At 36.0% G+C, this 22,063-nt stretch overlaps 1 long non-coding RNA gene across 1 annotated transcript, besides 1 other annotated feature; it reads left to right on the plus strand.

Annotated features, from left to right (window-relative positions):
- The first annotated feature begins 6,053 nt into the window (after positions 1-6,053).
- LOC105370773 (uncharacterized) lies at positions 6,054-12,429 on the plus strand. The gene is made up of 3 exons (XR_932116.3): positions 6,054-6,129; positions 11,792-11,858; positions 12,367-12,429. It is a non-coding gene; the product is annotated as an uncharacterized LOC105370773 (long non-coding RNA).
- Positions 14,700-14,994: a silencer, noted in NCBI's record as "tiled region #1314; K562 Repressive non-DNase unmatched - State 24:Quies". NCBI's record gives its function as "represses a minimal TATA promoter and a strong SV40 promoter by Sharpr-MPRA in K562 cells {active_cell/tissue: K562}" and the evidence as "EXISTENCE:reporter gene assay evidence [ECO:0000049][PMID:27701403]".

The following is a 22,063-nucleotide window of genomic DNA, read 5'->3' on the forward strand; positions in this document are numbered from 1 at the left end:
GTCTATTCCATGCTCCCTATTTTCCAGACATTGTTCTGAGTGATGGAGATACGGCTGAAATAAAAATTATAATCTAATTTTAGGTCAAAATATGGCAAAATCAATTATATAGTAGCCAATGATAGAAAATACTATCTTTTCTACTAGTTTTGAAGAGCTTTTTTATATTAACTATCAGTTTAAAAAAGTAGATGGAAGTAATGAAAACCAAATTCAGATAAGAATACATTTAATATGTACTAGGCATTTAATATATATTGAGGATGTCAAGTACCAAGCTATGTACAATAATGCTTTTTTTGTAAATCCTCACATCAGTTCTGTAAAATAAATGCTAATATCATCATCATTTACATTTGATGAAACTGAGCTTTAGACATGAAACTTACCTTTTCCCAAACCAGTGATTAAGTCTGGATTTGAACTAAAATTCATCTATCTTTAGAGCTCAGGAACTTTATCAGTATGTTCTATGAAGATTAATGATGACACAACATAGCAATAGTTTTATATGTTCAATCTAAATACTAATTAAATAAATGGCTACTTAACAGCAATAATCAACTATTAAGTTGAGCATGATTAAAAAATATCCAAACTTGATTAGGGCACAATGTGGACATACAAAATTTTACAACCTTTCAGGAAAGCCTTCTAGTAAAGGGATTTAAGAGTCTTTGAAATCTTTAAAACTTTTTAAGATAATTTTTTGTACATATTTAAAGTATACAACATGAAGTTATGGGATACATATAGATAGTAAAAAGGTTACTATAGTGAAACAAATTAACATCCATTGTCTCACATAGTTACCCATTTTTTTTAGTAGCAAGAATTGCCAAAAACCTACTCATTTTGCATGAATCCCATCCACATATCTTTATTATCTATAGTTATCATGTTGTACATTAGATGTCTCGGCTTGTTCATCCTACTATCTGTTGCTTTGTATTTTCTGACCTACATATCCTCATCTCCCTACCTCCCACCGTCATGCCTCTGTTAACCACTGTTTTGTTCTCCATCTCTGTATATGATTTATTATTATTAGATTTCATGTGTAAGTGACATCATGCAATATGTTTTTCTATGTACGGCTTATTTCACTCAGCAAAATATCCTCCAGGCTCATTCACTTTGTGGGAAATGGAAAAAAATTTGTTCTTTTTTAAAGCTGAATAATATTCCATTGTGTATATGCACCACAGTTTCTTTATTCATTAATTTGTCTATGGACACTTAGGTCATTTCCATATCTTAGCTGTTGTGAATAATGCTGCAATGAACATGGAGTGCAGGTATCTTTACAGGGTGGTGATTTTATTTCCTCTGGATATATGCCCAGAAGAGGGATTGCTAGGTCATAATTCTAGTTTTAGTTTCTTTTTAATTTCTTTAGAAACAGTATGGAAATACTGTTTTCATAATGACTGTACCAATTTACAGTTCCATCAACAATGTACAAGAGTTCCCTCTTCTCCACATCCCTGCTAACATTTGTTATCTTTTGACTTTTTGATAATAGCCATCCTAACAGGTGTAAGTTGGTATCTCACAGTGGTTTTGATTTGCATTTCACTGATGATCAATGACGTTGAGCATCTCTTCATACACCTGTTGGCCATTTTTACATCTTCTTTGGAGAAATGTCTACTTAGACCTTTTGCCATTTTTTTAGTTCGATTATTTGCTTTTCCACTATAGAATTGTATAGGTTCTTTATAAATATTGGATATTAATTCCTTACTAGATGCATGATTTGCAAATATTTCCTGCTACCATATATCCTGCTGTTTCATCTTGTTGATTATTTCCTTTGCTGTTCAGAAGCTTTAAACAGTGTTTCCACTTCTAGGAATTTCACTTGAAGAAATAATCAGAAATGCCGACATAATTTTCATAGAAAGATGTTCAGCTGAATGTCATTTATAACAGCAAAATTTTGAACTCATCTAAATAATAAAATAATGGCATCTTCATAAGATAAATGACTGTAGATAGTATTAAAAATCAAAATTAAGAGTATATGATAACATGGGACATGATAATTATGCAATATTAAGTAATAAAGATAGGATAAAAAACAACACAAAAATTATAAGCCCAATACCAAATTTTGTATAAAAATACATTGATATAAAGTACTGTATATAGGAAATACTTATTTAAATTAAAAGACATATTTACAAATCAAAATTTAAATAATAGTTATTTACACATTTAAGAAAAATAAAATAGTAATAGAGTTTATGAAACCAGTGAAATAATTTTAAAGGGGAAGGTGTTAGTTTTCTTTCTGAAACTTTACTATATTTCCTTATTCTACAAATGAAAATAGATTGCATGGCTCACACAAATACATAAATATAGCAAAATAAAAAATAAAACTAGATAAGAATAATACCATTGTGTTTTGCACAGAATCCACTTAAAACCTCTAAGTATACTAAAACAGTGTTAGTAAGTCTTCATCTGCTTTTCCTAATAGAGAGAAAATGCTAATTAATTTATAGATAATATTTAAAGTTTATTTTATGCACCATGTCAGCAGATGCCGTTAAAAGAGAAAAGTGTGCTTTATAGTCCTATGGAAGGTAATAAATGTCAAACACATGTAGATACAGTTATAACTTTATGAACACTCAGGGTAATGCACACAAGGAAAACCTTACGCAAACACCAAATAAAAAGACATGCTTTCTAAGCACAGTCAGGGGACTGTTTTTTAGCTCTATGTGTAATGTAGGTGAGATAGAGGGTTAAGGGCTGCAGTGCAGTGTTCTGCAATAAACCCCCTGCAAGCGAGGGTTTTGATGGGGTGCTAATTGAGTAGCAGGTGAACATAAATAGAAAACACCAAGGGTGTGTAGGGGGGAGTCTTTTTGTTGATGAGAGAACATAAAAATGCTGAGCTCTGTAATAAGAAATAAATACAATCTGGGGCTTATTTCTCCAACCTCATTCTACCCTCCATAGTATGGGCCTCTCTAGATAAAAATGTTTGCTAGGGATTAACATGGCTTTTAAAATGTTTGGGTGAAAACGGAATAAATCAGGTAGGTTCCCGAAGCATATAAAAGCTTAAGGGTTTGTGTCTAGTGTTCTGCCTTTGTTCATTAGTTTGTGGTTAGATGCAATGTTTTGTATGGTTGTTGCTGATTTCTGACATGATTGGCTCAGAATGTCTCAAGACGTTAACAATGGCTGAATCATGAAGCATCTAAAGTAAAATTTCATCAAGATTTTATCAGAATGTAGATACCAAAAACATATAAAACAGAGTGAATAGAAACGTGAAGACTGACTCAAGCTTTCTGAAGTTCAAGATTCTTTTTTAAAAAAAGTAAATACTGCTTTTTGTTTAGCTCACCTAGACAGGTTTTAAAAATTTGTAGGTTCTAATGTTGATATTTCACCTTTTCCAGGAAATCATATAATACAAATACATAGAACCATCATATTGAAGATTTACCTTTCTCTGAGAAGCATTTTCAGGTGTATGTAAAGTGCTATATTCACTGACAGTGTTGTATATTTGAACAAAAATGAGGTCCCTGCACAGCATCGTTAATTCTAATAAAAGTATTATACACATCCAAGATGTAAGACATTTTAATACTATTACGTTTTTAATAACGATAGATAATGACACATTTCTTGTGCACCAGCAACTGTGCTAACCACTTTTTACATACTATTTCATTTGATCCTCACAACAATCTTAGGAAGTAAGCACTCTTAATTAAATTTCTAAGTGAGGATACCAATGTGTAGAAAGATTAAGTATCTTTTCCATAGTCACATAACAAATTAGTTGTGAAGCCAGATGTTGAACCTAAGTAAACTGATTCCCTACTGAACACAAATCCTAAACTGCTCTTTTATACACCCTCCTTACATTCGCTCTTCCAATTCCTGAAGAATATTCACTAAATGAATGCTTCGCTGTAATAAAGACTCTTGCTATTTTCAGAGAGTTAAGGTAGACTAACAAAAAGTTTACTTCCTCACATGGTCTAGAGCAGTGATGTTAAATTTTAATGTTCAAATAAATCACCTGGAGATCTTTTTTAAATGTAGATATTGATTCAGTAGGTCTGAGGTGGGACCTGAGAGTCTGCATTTTCAACAAGCTTCCTGGAGATGTCCTTGCTGCTGCCTCAGACCATACTTTAAGTAGCAGGTCTGGCCGGGCGCAGTGGCTCACACCTGTAATCCCAGCACTTTGGGAGGCCCAGATGGGCAGATCACGAGGTCAGCAGATGGAGACCATCCTGGCTAACATGGTGAAACCCCGTCTCTACTAAAAATACAAAAAATTAGCCGGGCATAGTGGCGGGCGCCTGTAGTCCCAGCTACTGGGGAGGCTGAGGCAGGAGAATGGTGTGAACCCAGGAGACGGAGCTTGCAGTGAGCCAAAATCCTGCCACTGCACTCCAGCCTGGGGGACAGAGCGAGACTCTGTCTCAAAAAAAAGAAAAAAAAAAGTAGCAGGTCTGTGGAATTTTTCCTGAGATGCATCAAAGGGATAGAAGTACAGTTCCAGTTGTTTTCCTGTGCCCTCCTTTAATTACCTAGTTTCTGTGATGTCACAATCTAGTTTGGAATAACCTTATCAACTTCCTGACTCTTTCTTCTTCTATCCTATTTTCCCCTTGTCTCAAAGAAGAAAACTGGAATGCTAATATAAATATAAATATTGCCACCAAATTCCGAAAGGGAGATAACCAGCTCAGGCATGTGTTAAGGAAAAATAATCCTGTGTCTTCTTTGTATTACTTTGTAGATTACAGACTATTTTATAAAAGTTTGAAATAAGTCATACACAGAACGCTTTCTATCACTAAGCTCACCGGGTAAAAATCAGAAAAACAAACATCTCCAAAATTACCATTTTCAGAAGTATCAGAACAACCCTACAAGAATAAGAGATGCAAGAAGTAGAATGGTGAGTATTTTAGGAACCAAGATATTGCCCAGAAGTTTAAGACTCATTTTAGGTTTATCCTGCACATCCAAACTTGTCCTTTCATATCCAACAATTTACCACACCCTATAGATTTAACATAACAAACAGCAATTCTTTTTCATCCACCACTGCTTTGGTTTAGTCCCCATCCCTTCTCACTTTACCAGTTTCCTAACATGGGCAGGAGAGAGGATTCCTGTTTAGCCCCAGGACTACTTCAAGGCCATTCTCTACACTGCTGCCAAGGAAACTTTTCCAAATTATTAATCTAATGTCACTTTGCTTTGCCTCCTTTCAACAGCTCCCTATAGTGTTAAAGTTCAGGCTTCCCAGGTTAGCACAGATAGCTCATTGTGGTCACACCCCCTCTGTCTCAGTAATTCATTCCTTCCATTACCTCACACAAACCTTTTACTGGTACTGAACCAGAATACAGCTCTACTATTGCATCACGGTGTTTTACACCTTCCTGCCTTCTCATGTTCTATTTTTATTCAGAAACTCTCCCCTTTCCCTTCTTTGCTCTCCTTCCTAGACCTCCCTCCTACACACCCAGCCAACTTGCCAAGAATCAGTTCAAGAAGTGTTCTGGAATACCTGAAAGCTCCCTGAATCCTCCTATTAAGATACTCAGAGGAACTACAGTAGGAAAAACAAGACCTCATAGACTACATCTGCAATAAGTCTAGATCACAAATGTAACTCTAAAATATAATTTGGTGGGGCTAAGTTAGGAAAAACTACAAGACCTATATGGTATCAAAACAGTATGGCTGAAATCAGAGGAAAGACAAAGGGACTGCTGATGACCCTGAGAGCTGGAAACTCCCAACTATCAGGCACCCCTAGAAAGCACAGTGGGCTTTTCTGAGAACAACAGGAGACAATGGGAGAGGATTTTGAAAGTTCCACTTTGAGAGTAATGAGGGCAAATACAAGTGGCCTAAAGAATGATCTGATGGTCCCAGAGAGTTTTGGGGTCTGGGGTCTATAAACTCTCAAAAGTGACAGACAAATCAACCCTTACATTACAGAGCTTAGCCCTAAGGAGAAACTGCTGGTATTCTAAGCCACAGAGAGCAGAACAGGGACTATAAGAGTAAGGAAAAACAAGGTGAAGATAAAACTGAGAAGAGTAGCAGAGGAGGAGGATCTAAGAGGTAGCTATTTTGATCTATCTTCTCTTCTAAAAGTACATAAAAAGTCATTTTACTTAACAATGAAGAGCAGCAAAAGAATGCCACAGGATCTTACATAAAATTAGTATAAAAAATAAAATAGTGAAAAAAAATCTCTCAAATAAGGAAAGCACACCAGAAAATTATGCCCACAAAACAGATGAAGAACCTAATGTTTCAAAATGAGCTAAAAATAAGAGAATTCTAGAATCTATAAAGAACAACATATATCAGAATCTAATATATCAGAATTTAAAAACTCAGAAGTGAGATGATTAAGAAAAGGATTTAAAAAGAGAGGTAAAAGAATTCAGGAAAGAATTAGAAATAAAAGAAAAAATAACTACCTCTAAAGTTAGGAAAAAACACAAAAGTAAATAAACACAACAAAATATGCCTTAAGAGAAATAGGATATGGAAAAGAGGAAGTTTTATAGATAATAGAATTTTGAAAGACTACTAAAAAGCATTTGAGAGTAAGTGATGAATACAGAAGAAAAGCAAGAGATTCAACATAAATATACTAGTAGTCTCTGAAGAGGAAAACTAAAGCAATGGACAGAATAAATATTAAAACTATAACTCAGGAAAATCTTTTACAATAATAAAAAGTCTTAAAACTAAACACTGAAAGGGTATACCATTTAGCTGGGAATTAAATCTATAATGCCAACATTAAGAAATATTCTACTAACTGACTGGAGATATATACATGCATATGTGTGTGCGTGTGTGTGTGTGTGTTTATTGAGGGGATATTATTCCCTTAAACCTTCTCTGAATAATCTATTAGAGAATGAGCTTCATACAATGAAAATGACTTAAGAGGCTTTGACATAAGTACAAGAGGTAGCACTAAATATATTTTTTCTATAGAATCAAGGCTGATGATTATAACAATAAAATGTCTGTGTGCCCTAATAATGTAGCTATAATACAAGAATCAAATATAGATAAGTACAATAAACTCATTTATTATTTCATATGTATTCATTAGGTCTACAAGGATATTACATCAACAAATGCTGGATTCGAGAGAAGAAAGAAAGAGAAACAGGTCACTAGTTGGTTGCATTAGTGCTCATAGTAGGAAACAATAGTCAATAGCCAGAAAGGGAGGAATGGAAATTACTATTACAAAGGATTTATTAAAATAAATATAAAAGTAATTATTAAAACAAAAAATGCAAACCTTCCTAAATGCCAGAAGATATTTTCAAAACTTTTAAATTTACTTGTGGGGAAAGAGAAGAATTAGAGTGAAATAACCAGAAATGAAAGCTAAGCTTCGTTTATTATAACTTGCTTCAAAACTTTGATTCTGGGGTGGTCGTAAGGGTTCGTGCCTTGTAATCCCAGTGCTTTGTGAGGCCAAGGAGGGAGGATCACTCGAGACCAGGAGTTCAACACTGCTGTGATCTATCCTCATGCCACTGCCCTCCAGTCTAAGTGACAGAGCAAGATACTGTCTTTAATAATAAATAAATAAATAAAACACAATTTAATTTTGGACCCTTGTAAATATTTTTCATAATTTCAAAGCAAGCTTAATTTATAAAATACAATCTCTAAAAATTAAAAATAAAAGTATAAAAATGACCCAACTGTATAAACAGTGCGGGCATAACTATACAGAAAGGAACTAATTCAAGTGAATTTAAAACATGGTAATTTAATTGCACATTCTGAGGACATGCCCTAAGGATTAAAAGTAGAATAAAAGAGAACAAGCAAACAAAAACACCCACTACGATCAGACTATTTTGAGAAAGCATATAGTTAGTGGACATGTTGGTAGTGTTATTCTTAGGTTGTTGTGTGATTACTATGGGATAAACAAATGAGAATTATGCTGGTGTTATTGAAAGCACGGATCTTTCAAGTGAAAGAAAGAAACACTATTGTAACACATAATAAGGTTAAGTAGTCTTGAACTGTAGTCTTGAATTTTGATTGGAACTGTCAATACAAAGTCACGATTTGTTTTTCTTTGAAAAATATTTCCCAACTCAACCATCCACAATGTCTCAAAACAATGTACATCCCAGCTGAAATTAGTGTCTTTGGTCTTCAGAATACGGGTTCTAAACTAGACATCTTACTATGAAGAAACAGGGATCCGTGCATAAATTGCTGATTGCAGGTCTGGGATTGGAATGCGAAATGTTTGAGATGGTCCTTAATGAATCGATAAGCTAACTGGAGCAACTCTAAAAATCTGGTCACTGGGCCAGTAGAGCTCTAACATCAACTGGGCAGTTGTAAGGAATGTAAGTTCTCTGTCTTACCTCAGACCTGCTGAATCAGAAGATTTGGGGTAGAGCCCAGCAGTTTGGGGTTTAATAAGTCTTCCAAGTGATGTTGATGAACACTGAAGTTTGAAAACCATTGCTCTAGGGCAATGATTATCAATGGCTCTTAACATCAAAAACATGAGAAGCAACCAATTATACTTTTTCTGACAAAAGTACATACTGCCAACCTATGAAGTAATCTTGCCTCCCACCAAAACCAAAGTTGAACCTGGGTCAGATTAAGCTCTAGTTCTTACAATCAAGTTATAGAAAATAGAGATAAACATGTTATGCAATCAAGAAAATCCAGACAGAGGGAAATTCTATAGGTTAAATAATCCAGGGTTTTCCAACAAAGAAATTCTAAGGAAAAATTATACATGGAAAAAGAACCTATAGAATAGGAAAGGCCAATTATAATAATATGTGGACCTTAGCTGATCCAAATTCAGATAAATAAACTGGAAAAACAACATTTATAATATAATTAGATAATTTTGAGCACTGAGTATTCAATAATATTAAGGGCCTTTAATCATTGATTTTTTTGGAAGATGGTGATACTGTACCTATATTTTGGAGATACACATGTAATTATATGCTGTCCACAAAAAAATTCAAAATAAATCTGGGGAGGAGACGGCGAAGTGGATAAGATAAATAAAATTGGCCTTGAGCTGATGGAATTAATGATTACTGAAACTGAGTAATGGTTATGTAGAAGCTGAGAAGCCTATTACAATATTCTTTCCATTTTTAGGTATTTGAATTTTTCAGTAATAAAAGGTTTCACATCAAGCATCATCTCTTCCAAAAAAAAAGGTTCCTTAGCACCACTCCGAACTCGATTTAGATAGCCTTTGTCAGTGTTTCTGTACTGCTCTGTGTGTAACTCTACCTTGTCTATGATCAGTTCCTTGAGAATATTGGGTTTTACAACCTTTTATAATCCAGTGGCTATTGTAGTCCCTGTACACAGCATCTTTTTCAGTTCAGGGTCCTCAAGGGAAACAGAAGTAATACCCAAACAGGGTAACTGAAGAGGGTTCAATAAAATAATTACTCAAGGTTAAGAGAAAAAACTAGAGATGAGGCATATGGGACTGGCAACAGCAGAAAGCCCTTACCTCATCTTGCCCAATGGGAAGGGAATGGGAGACTTACCTGAAACCTAGTGGGAACTGTGGCTTTAGGAAAGGGCTCCTGAGAGGAGCGGTAGCCTTTGTTAGAGGAACAGACCTGGAGCCCTATGGGGGGTGATTGCAGGGAAATACGTACTTCAAAGTCACTCCAATATTCTGCTGGTAGCTTTCATTGATTGAATCCACGTAGAGGCCAGCAAGCCCGTTAATGCAGTCAACAGGAAGAACACGAGGGTGGAAAGTGGATCTTGATGGTGAAAAAATTCAGCACATTAATCAATAATAATTTTTGAATAAAAGAATGATGCCTACAAGCAAATAAATCCAAAGACAAAACAATATAATGGTCCAGAAAAGTAATCAATATTGATGTCAGAGGTAGACGCAATGCCACAGAGACAAGAGGCTTCCTTAGAGATTCAGGGGGTTTCCAAATCACGACTTAAACTGTTTGGTGTGTGTGTGCACACACAGCTGTGCGGGTGCGCATGCAGAGGGGTGGGTGTGTGTGTGTAAGGAGGCACATTTGATGACACCATTCTCATGGAATCTCTTGCTCTTGCTCTTAATCCATCGGGCAAAGATTTTGAGAAAATCTTAGTTTATTTGCAGCAGATTTTAAAATAACCACAGATATTTCTATTGATCATTTAAAAGAATGATCTTTGTCTTTTCTATCAGTTTTTTTATCTCTAATAAAAAAATTATTTGAATACATACTGTATTACCTCCAGTGGTATTTTTTAAGCAGCATGCTAATATCAGAATAGCAGTGTAAATATACCTGCAATTGTCAGTTAACCTCATGCTATTATTTTTAGACTGCCTGCGGCAGTGTATCAGTACTGTCAGAAGGAAAAAATAATACAGAATAAGGCATTTTCACATTCTTTTCCACAAGCCAAGACACAAAATGGGCTCATTATCAACATGTGGTTGCCTACATTTCAATATTAATATATCTTTAGCTCTCCAATAACTGCTGTGGAGTTGTCTAATTCAGCAAATGTAAACATGTGTTCCCCCAGGAATGATACGCTGCCAGGCAAATGAGATATTTTTTCCCCTCAAATCCTTCCTTGAAATAAACTAATCAAGTCTAAAGATTCCAGGGCACTATTCTAGAGAAAAATGTTTTTTTTTTTTGAAGATCACAGTGTTGCTAGTGTTTCTACCCAGGGAGTTCAACCTGATGACCTTGCTACATACATGAGGCCTAAAATTATTCATGTCAAGAAGGAATTTTTTTTCTTGTACCAGATTCTCACAGGACCTTTAGCTGATAATAGCTACTAATGTCCATGGAAAAAAATTAAAAATTATATGATTCTGGAGTATGTACATCTTCATACTTTCCATGATATCCGCAACCATATCTTAAAGCATTTACCTGGTAGCAGGGACATAAATTCAAACTTTGTCACCAGGGACCAGTTTCTTGGAAGGCAATTTTTCCATGGGGGGAGGCAGGAATAGTTTGGGGATGAAACTGTTTCATCTTAAATCAGCAGGCTTTAGATTCTCATAAGGAATGCTCAACCTAGATCCCTTGCATGTGCAGTTCACAACAGGGTTTGTGCTGATCTGACAGGAGGTGGAGGCCAGGCAGTAATCCTTGCTCTCCCACCGCTCACCTCCTGCTGTGCAGCCGGGTTCCTAACAGGCCACAGACTGGCACCAGTCTGCAGCCTGGGAATTGGGAAACCCTGGACTAGAGTGCTGGTTTTGCAAATCCAAATCTTGAAGCAGTATCCCAACTAAATATCCCAAGAGATGATAATAAACATTTACTATTCTTCATGTACAAAGACGGTTTAGTTTTCTACCAGTTAGATGGCAGCCTCCATTTTTTTTAGTAAAGGTAATCAGTTCACATCATATACACGGATACCTTGTTCTCCATGAAAATAGGAGTTTTCTGTTCAGCTATAATAGCTACCAGCATGCACAGGAACCAAACCTATGACTTCTGCCGTAAGGGCCACAAAGTTACATCCAGCTGAGTCCCCTAATGCATCTGAGTCTTTTGCAGTCAAGTATAGTGGTATACTTAGAAGAATATGTGATCTGCAGCCAGAAGACTTGTGGTTTGGGTTCTGTCTCTGCCACTTACAAGCTATGTGAATGTGGGCAAGCCATTAAACATATTTGAATTGTAGTTTTCTTATTGATAAATTATAACTATTTATAATTATTGCTGTCCTACAGAGCTGTTGTGAGGATCAAATAACAGTAAATGTGAAAGAAGTTTATAAATTGCTGAGTGCAATATAAGGTAAGTTTTCTGGCCTTTGATATAATTGTTTTATCTGATCAATCCACATTATTTGAGATCTGTCAACATGGGATTTCCAATTATCTAGTTCTGTTTCCTCCATCTTTTCCATTTATCCTCTCTTTCCAGTTTTACTATTCTCCATCCTAATTTAAAATATTAATTCCCAATAAAAATCTCAAATCTATCATTGATGGGCATTTGGCTTGGTTCCAATTCTTTGCTATTGTGAATAATGCCGCAATAAACATATGTGTGCATGTGTGGGGGTGGGGGGAGTGGAGAGGGGGGAGGGATAGCATTAGGAGATATACCTAATGTAAATGACGAGTTAATGGGTGCAGTATATCATCATGGCACATGTATACATATGTGACAAACCTGCACGTTGTGCACATGTACCCTAGAACTTAAAGTAGAAAAAAAAATCTCAAATCTAAGTAAATGCTATAGCAAAATATTTTAACAAAGTTTGCTCTCTCTTTTTACCCTTAAAATTTATTTCTAGCACAGCTTCAGGGATTAAAGCCAGAGACCACAAATGTAAAGCCAGGCCAAGAGTCAGCCTCAGGATTAAGGACCCCAAGAGGCTGGGGAGGTCAAAAATCACCCTGAAGACCCCATCTGTGGAGATAGGGTGTGTCTCACAGAGAGGTACACCCACAGTGTTTATGAGGGTTAGGAAACTCCAACACCTTATGCAAGGAGATGCCAGCAGGAGGAAAGGAAAGTCATCATAGATGTTTTAGTCCACCAGCAGATTGTCTGGCCAATAGGAGTTTGTAAAGATTTGAGAATGGCTAAATGCCATATCAGGAAAAGCATTTGACTGATAGTAAGAACTAGTTTCACTTACTGTTTCTACTAGTTATGGAACCGGTTTGAGCAAGTTTTGTTTTGTCTTTCTGGGCTTCAGATTCTTCAACTATAAAAAGTCCAGATCGCTTCTAAATTTCCATCAAGCTCTAAAATAGCACATTAGTCATAAGTAATTCATTTCTATTTTCACTATGCAAAATAAGATCAATCTGACAAAAATAAAATAAAATAAAAACAGCCGTCACCACTAAAATTTGTGTTTGATATGATTTTGAAGTCTTCCCATTCACTTGGGAAAATTCAAGGTTCTATTTAAGAAGGTTCCATAAAAAGTCAAATTAATATCCTTTGTACCTACTTCTTTAAGATGACTGCTTAACAGGAATTCTGATAAATGACAGGAGCTTCTGCCTGTAGCAACCAATCAAAATGTATTATTAGCGTAACATTCCCATGTAACGACATGCCAATAATTATCTCTTAAATGGAAATGTGGAATTCTTAACTTTCACATGTACAGAACATTACAATCATTGGGACCTAAAAAAATTGTAATTAGAAATTTCAACTATGTCACATTCTAGATTTCTTGTTGGTTTTGTAAAACTGGCCCCAGAAGAGGAAAGCGCAAGGTCACTATAAGTGTCCCTCACTTAGCATAAAACCCAGGACTTAAACTTTCTCATCTGGATGGGAACCCTCTCTTCTCTCTTAATACCTCTTTTTATCTTTCCTATCCTCTTTACTGCACCCACAAAATAATATTGTCAGAGCTTTCATATTTATAAGCTATTGAAGAGATAATAGCAGATAAGAACTTTTTTTTTTTTACTTCACTTTGTATTTGTTGTTGTTTTGATTCAGGAAAACATTGAATTGTGTTAGTGTAAAGGGGAGAAGAATAAATCTAGCCTGATGAAGAGTGGGAAGATATTAAGCAAATGATTTGTCATGCAGTAGGGGAGTCAATAAATATTTTATGTTGATAAAATCAGAAGCAAGTGAGCTAATATATAAGAATGCATTTATTAAAACATAAGATACTATATAAACACTCTTATTGTCATCAGTACTTTAAGCAGAGCAAAAATGGAAAAGAGACAGAAAGAGATTCTTGCCAAATGCCAGTGCTACCCCCACCAAAAATGTGTTCAAGGCTGGAAGTTGGTTATTTAAGTTTCCTGTCTTCATAGGATGCTATAACTCTTGCTTTCTTTCGAGTTTCTTCATCTTCCCTTACTCCACCCACATTATAACGATGCCCAGAAAAGGCCGGTCTCAGTTGCATACTCAGTTCAATGTCTGAATCCATGGATCATGGACAGCCCCTTACGATTCACAGAAAGAAGTTCATATTTAATTAAAGATGAATGAAGTCATTTAAAGACATCCTCTTTCAGCAGTTGAAAATAAATGATGTTTTTAGATCAGCATCTCAGGAGCTCTGTCAGAAAGCACAGATTTTAGAATCTTTAGTTCCAGTTCCTAGTGTTCTCTGAGGCTACAGTGGCAATCTTAGGCCCATCAGTCTTTCTCTGACCCTTGGCTTTAGGCTGTTAAGCCTTGGCCATCTGTCTTCTAAATACGCATGTTTGGTCTCCAAGGACCAACACCCAAGGTGAGAGGACATGGGTGGTCAGGGAAAATGTAAAGTCGCAGTTGGGATAAAGATAGAGAAAAATCATAAGGCATTTCCTCCATGTGGAGCATAAGCAGTATCACCTTCTAATGTGCAGGACAATTTATCTCTTTCCCAAGGTAAGAGAACAGTACCACTGTGCTAGTGTTTTATCCATTGCCACCCAGCCTACTATTTTTGGTATTATTATTATTAAAATAAATAATGAAAATGTTGTTGGATGTTGGTCCCACAAAACTCAGCCTTTAAGAATGTTTCTGCTCTACAAGTAGGCTTCCTATCATAACTGCAAACAAAGGATTAAAGGGGCGTGCAGGGCCCCAGAAAGCTCTTCCTAACTGTCATGGCCCATCCTTAAATGTTAAGAGCTGCTGAATCTCTGTCTGCAGAACTTGATGCTTCAAAAACATAAATATATTGTTCTTAAAGCCCAGATAGAACACAGGCCTGATGTCATGAATACTGATGACTTTCCCCAGTTGAGGGACTATTGGGGTTGGCGAGGAGCGGGTAGGACAAAGGAAAGGAAACATCTCAGAGTCATCACAACAACAGACTCTTGCATCTCAGAGGAGTTCCAACCCTCTGAGTTCACTGTTAGGCTCTGAATAGAATTACCTACATGTCAGTCCATCAAGGTAGTTTAAAATACCTGTGCTCCTAAAGCCAAGGTGTCATTACAGATTTAGCACTACCAGCAGTGTTCTCTTTGTCACACAATGAAGCAATATGGTTAATTAACGCTCACTGGGGAGCCTGGGATAATGACGCCTCTCTCTTCCTAGAGCCAATTACCCCAAATATTCAGATTACCTACCTACTACTTCACTGAAAGAAGTGTCTGGGTGTTTTTTGTTTTTTTTTTTCAAGGCATTATGTATCATGTAACGTCACATTATGTGATGTTGTATCACAGCCTGACAGCTTACAATGAGAGATATGCTGAATATATTGGGTAGTTAATACCTGTCTGAATTAACAAGACAACCAACTTTCCAAAGAAAGAAATATCTGGGGTACCTCCTGGGATATCTGGAGGGAGAACCATGTCTGATTCACTCAATCAACCACTGTGTGTCACTGTTGCTTCTTGTAAAGGCACACGAAAGGGTATTTGTCTGCAGAGATGGCACACGTATCTACACATAAACGATCAATGGTTTTGTACAGAATCCTTAATGGATGCCCATTCATAGAGATTCTATGCCAATTCTGTTTAAATGATCTCACTCATCTAGGAATTAATTATCAAGAGTCAGAGTAACATACAGGAAAGGGTATGGGATTGAGCAAACCAGTTGAGAACCTGGTATGTGACCTGTACTTATTCATCTGTTCATTCAAAAAATATTCAGTGCAAGCCTGTTCTCTATAGGGATTCTGTTACTAGCAGATAGAATATACTCCAGCTCCATTCTTTTCATTGTGCCTCAAATAAGCCAGACATAATCCTGCCTCAGGGCCTTTGCACAAGCTGATACCACTATCTAGAATGCTCTTCTCCAAGATATCTTTATGATGAATTCTCTTGCCATCTTTAACATTTTCCCAAATATCAGCTTCTCAATGAGGTCTATCCTGGCCAACTTATTTAAAATCCCATCCCCTCTTTTGTTTCAGTACTCCTTGTTCTTTTTTACTCCATAGGAAAAAACATACTTAGATTAACTTGTCAGAGAAACTGTCTTTGAGGAGGTGACATGGAATGTCAATGATGAGACATCAATGTCAAATGATGACAGATAGATAGCCCTGAAAGGAATGGAAGAAAAGATGGCTTACTTTCCTCTTTTGTAACAGGGATAAATGTCATCTATCTGGTAAGAAGAGGATTAAATGAGATAATATATGCAAAGGCCATAGAATGTACTTTCTCAATATTCTAGTTATGTCATTTCCTCACTTAAAACCTTCAGTGACTTCCCATTTTCTTCTAAACAAAATTCATACTCTTAGATCAATAACTCCATTGCTCAGTCCTAGTTTCTTTCAGGCCTCTTTCATCACTAAACTCCATCAACTTCCACCAACACATACACACACACACACACACACACACACACACACACTCTCTCTCTCTCTCTCTCTCTCTGTCTTTCGTGGAACTATATAACTTCTTATAAAACCCAAATGCCAACATCTTGTTTTGATGCTCTCTCCATTGGCCCTACCTAGAATAAACAGTCTGCCCTGAGCAAACTTTCCCTTCATGCTCAATCACTCCTGTGTGTCCCATGTATCCTCTGCTTTCCTCTGCTATATTACTTATTGTACAATACTAAGATTGGTACTTTTAGTTTCCTTCCCTGTAACCACACTGTCAGATTACTGAGGGTAGAGCTATATCTGATTTATTTTTCTATCCCTAGCTCTTGATGCAGAGCCTAGGATATAGTAAACTCACAATGCAAACATTTGAATGACTGGCTGAATCCATTCAACAGATCAGCACTACATCAGTGATGGGCACATAGCTTGTTCATAATAAATGCTGACACTCTCCCATCACTCCCAACTAACTCATTTAATTATATATGTGAATAATTAATCTTTTAGTTTACATAGGTTATATAAAGTTATAATTATCTGAAACTAGATATTAATAAAATATTGTGTTTGACAATGCAACAAATATGCTTTCAGATCTATTATAAGCAGAAAATTCCTATTTTTCTTTGGGTGAAGGGTAAGCATAAAGTTATAGATGAGAAATGTTAAGATCCATGCCTTCAATGAGCATACAATCTACTAAGGAAGACAAAGATATATGAACAGTTAACCAGCCATGGTTTAGACCAAAATTAATTGTCATAATACTAGCACATATGAAAGAAAACAGTTGACAGGGTTGTATAAAAAAAGGGAAAATAGGAAAAAGAAAACGATGGGCCTTTAAGGAAATGCTGTGCAGATGAGGCTGCAGTATCAGATGCATTCAAGGGTCCAGGGTCTGGACACATGGAGGCATAGAATAGAAAAGGTAGATGAGGTCTAGGTGGAGGAATAGCAGATGAGAGAACGCACTGGGATGTTTGTTCCAGTGTCTCAATGATACTTGCAGGGACATCAAATTTAATATCAGTATACTGATGGAATTTAAGAACTTGTGGCAACATGTCAAGAATAGTTGAAGTTGAGGTTGGAGAAGTGGTAAGCGGCAGGGATCCTGAAGGCAGGAAGGCAAGTTACTAGGCTATTATAAAAGAATGAAAAAAGGTGGGGAGGAAATAAACTAGAGCACCACTGGGATGAATTGAAAAGAGTCAACATTGTGAAGACAGACCAATGAATGTATCTGATAAGTGACTGATGACATCAATCATGATTCCAGGAATTCAAACAGAAGTTCAAGGGGAATGGTGAGCCCATTGTCCTAGAATAAGAAATGCATACAGAATAATTTAGGTGGCAGAGGGGAGGGGCAAGTTCACTAATGATTCATTATTCAGTCTTAGACATCATTAGCTGAGGTGTCAGGTGTGCAGGGGACACTCTGAGGTCAGATAGAGCAGGCTGTGAGTTATGAACTGGCTCAAGATTCAATCAGTAAAAAGTATATTTTTGCTAATATAAATAAAGTTACAAGAAACATTTACATTAAAATAGTTTATTTTTTCTTTTACTCTCTTTTGAACTATTTCCTTAGGGCAAGTTTCCACAACTGTATCACAGTCCTTTACAAGGGCCTCTTCCAATCCTCTAATCCTTTCACTTGAAGCCAGTACTACCTCAGTGCTTCCTTAGAAACCTTGATACTTTTTTTTGCTTTCAGCCCTGTTCCAACATCCCAATACACCACATTGTTTATGACAGTCCCCAATGATTTACAGCAATCACTTTAATAATTTTATAATATGCTCTCCAGACAAGATCTCAGTTGTTTAGCCAGTACTTTGAGAATAGTTTCTAAGGTACTGTTATAATCTTGTTTCCAAAACCTCATTAACGTAAGCTGACTTTTTCCCAGGGTAGTGAGAGTAAAACATAATGAAACACTTGATTTTTTGGACTAAGTCCATAGCATTACTATGCTATTAACATATAAAGATATGAATCACTAAAAATCAAGTTTAGATGTGTGATTTGCAAGTTCACATATTTCTGTTGACAACATAATATAAGTGTAGAAACCATAAATGGTATTTTTGATTTTCATAAACCTTGGTATATCCAACAAACATATCTCTATGTCTTCCTTTAGTTATTGTAAATGCAGTCTCTCACATTCTAAGCATGTAATCAGTAAGCATAGAAAGTAATTCCCGCTTTCATTGGCTACAATGAATATCTGGGACAGACATATCCATCCTGAGTGTTGACTCTGATGAAGGTTTCAATTTTAAACATGGATTCAATAAAACCTCAAGTAAATTGTGACAAATGCCTTGCCTCAGTGTGTTAAGTTAATTTTTAGTTTAACAAATTATACTCTACATCCTTTGGGGTTTTTTTCTTCGTTCATCAGAGTTGTGCTTCACTTACTATTTTTTTATGTCTGATAAAATTTGTTTTTGTAAAGCTGTGATCTCACTTCTTTGAAAAAGACTAAATGGGAAATTATATTTTTCCAAGAGTAAATAAAGGCTTCACTTTAATTCAAAATTACAAGTCCAGAGCATTTGAGAGATTTTACAAACTGGCACAGCATGTTCTGTTGGCCTTATAGGAATAAGATGATCCAGGGAGGATACACAGCCCATAGATCAACATCAGCATCTCTCGGCCACAGAAAGAAATACGTAAGATCATCCTGCTCCACTCCCAGAAAACTTTTTAGGCCTAGATTTCCATCTCTAGTCTTGTCTTTCCTACAAATGTGAGTTATCTGAGTGCTCACTCACCATGTAATAGCCACCTTGCCCAATATGGAGAATATAAAGATAACACACAGGCCATTTCATTGAGGTGTTAGTAGAGCACTTTGCCCTGTCCACCTTTTCTGCCTAGCCAGCTGCTTCTCTTTCTTCAATACCCAGATCAAATGTCACATCCTCTGTGTAGCCTTACCTAATGCCTCCCCTTTGTCCCCAAGAGAACTAGCATCTTCCTCTTAACTCCTCCATGACTCCATTCATACCTGCATTAACTTATCCTGATGCGTTTTGACATATCTGCTTATGTTTATCTGGTTATATTAACAAAACTCATTTAAGCACAGGGACTTACTTAAGATTTACTAGAGCTAAGAAATACTCAAGAAATGGGTGTTGAAGATAGGAAGAGAGGCAACATGCCCTACAACACAACAATGAAAATCTTAGACTATACAGCCACATGGATTCAAATTCCATCTATATAACTTACTAGCTTTGTGATCTTGATTTAAATCTGGATGAGTTATTGAACCTCTGTGCCTCAATTTTCTCATCCAGAAAATGAAGAATATGGTAATACTGATCTCTTAGAGTTATTGCTTGGCAACTTTAAAGACCCAGCTCTAGAGAATGAAAATAGGGGGAGAAGTCTTGGTTGTATTGTTCCTTTCTATCCACTGCAATTAATCATTAAGAGAATCTACTCTCTAAACATAGAGGAAAAATAAGCTCAATGTGCAGTTTTTCTCAAATTTTGGTGAAGTATAAGTATGCCTTTGACACTATATTCATAACTCTGTTACTTCTACCAAAGGGACAAATTGCACTGAAATCTTATCTTAAATGACTTTTCTCTGACTATAACATTCAACTTGCAAATTGTATCTATCTATCTATATATATATGGAAAATAAGAAGAAAACAAAGTTCACCCATAATTCTTCTACCCAATGGTTCTTCAAAAGCTATTGTTAAAATAGTTTTAAATATTGTGGTTTGAAATAGTTTAAAAAATTGTAAACAATTGTTAATATGGTTAAAATTTTGTAACTTTTCTTCTGTTTATACTTTGGCTCATAATTCAATTTTACTGGATAGATTTTCATATAACATTGCTTAATAGAAATTTCCCGTTATTAAATATTCCCTGAAAACATAATTATCTATTTATATTTATTTAATTTTCTCCCACTATTAGATATTTAGGCAACAACATTTTGACAATCATCTTTGCTATAAGTTGTACATACGTATTTTTTACATGTTACATAACATACTTTATAGCATTTTCATAACTTAACTTCACTATGATCCTAAGAAATAGGTCAAATGTTACAATCTTTATTTTGTAGAAGAAACAAAGGATCAGTGTTAAGCAAGTTTCTTAGCAAATCACTGGTGAAGTAAAGACCATGAGTTAAGGCATCTGACTCAGTTTATTGCTCTTTCCATCAAATCACTTCATATGTAAAATTGAAGTAATAAACCTAACATCAGTATAAAATGACCATTGGTTGCATGTGTTTGTGAGCATTGATGATTTTGTGCTAATTCACTCGAACATTCTTTCATGATTCCCTTTGTATTAAGTGACAAAAATATGTGATACTGCCCCCTTAAGGAACCGGAGCCTCCACCTTGTGCTCAAATCAGCACTGGGCTGTTAGCCACTGGACTAATTAGCTCATTTCTGCACAAGGAGGTTATGTACACAGCAGCACTAAAAGCTCTACTGAGGCCTGCAAAAGGGGAATCTTCTAGTGGACAGAAATTTGAGTGGCATACCAGCTTTTTCAGTTTACCTGGAAGGAGATATGACTAGAGGTGGGGATGGATATTGATTTTTGGTCAGTAGCTAACAGATGATCAAGGACTAGAAGGAACAGACTGGAGCACTGATGATACCATAATGCCAAGATTTTGCCCCCTACTGTATCCCATGTGCTAACAATGCTTAGCATAGCACATACTCTCGAAAACATTTGTTGATAGAAAGAATGAATAAGACCTACTATTGGCTAGCACAATGAGATGACTATAGTCAAAACTAATTAATTGTACATTTTAAAATAACTGAAAGAGTATAATTGGATTGTTTGTAACACAAAAGATAAATGCTTGAGGTGATGGATACCTCCATTGATCCTGATGTGATTATTACACATTACATGCCCAAATCAAAATATCTCATGCAACCCACAAATATACACTTCTACTTTGTACCCACAAAAATAAAAATAAAAAAAATTATTGAATGAAAGAATAAAGGAATCTCAGAAAAAGATAGGATATGCTTCTTAGCATTGCCCCAGAATTGAGAATATTTGTATGTTTTATGAATTGTCATCCAGGGACATCCACTGCAGAGGAGCAGATACTCTTTGGTAAGCATTTTATCAAAATTTTTTCCCAATCAGCTTTGTCCCATAACTGCTTGAGGGCTTGTTCAAAGTATCCATGAACTGCTGGCTACAGTAGCAGGGCTTGATGTACATACACACGCAACCATAATGATTTACCTTCCCCAAAGCTGTCCTGGAAATGAATAGACACCTTGTCTTCCAACAGCAGAAATCAATCCTAAGCCTCCAACATGACACCAGTCCCTGCTAATTAATAACATTGGATCTATACCCCAAAGAAAGGCTAGAAGTTATTCCTTACTGGAAGAGAACAAAAATAATTTTTCTGCCCTGCCTGATCTGCATATACAAGTTCAGCATCCATGGTCTTATTTTACGTACTATTTTTTATGCCTATATCCTTTCATTATAACAAAAAGTCATTATACAGAACATACAGAAAGACAGTAAGGCAGTGGATCGACACTTACGGGATTCATTGGTCTTTTTACATACCCCATCATCTGGAAGCAGCTGTACTTAAAGAATTGTGTAATTGGCCTCCTGAAGACTTAATTGTGGTACCAGCTG

This window comes from Homo sapiens, chromosome 15, assembly GCF_000001405.40.
Source record: "Homo sapiens chromosome 15, GRCh38.p14 Primary Assembly".
NCBI lineage: Eukaryota > Metazoa > Chordata > Mammalia > Primates > Hominidae > Homo > Homo sapiens.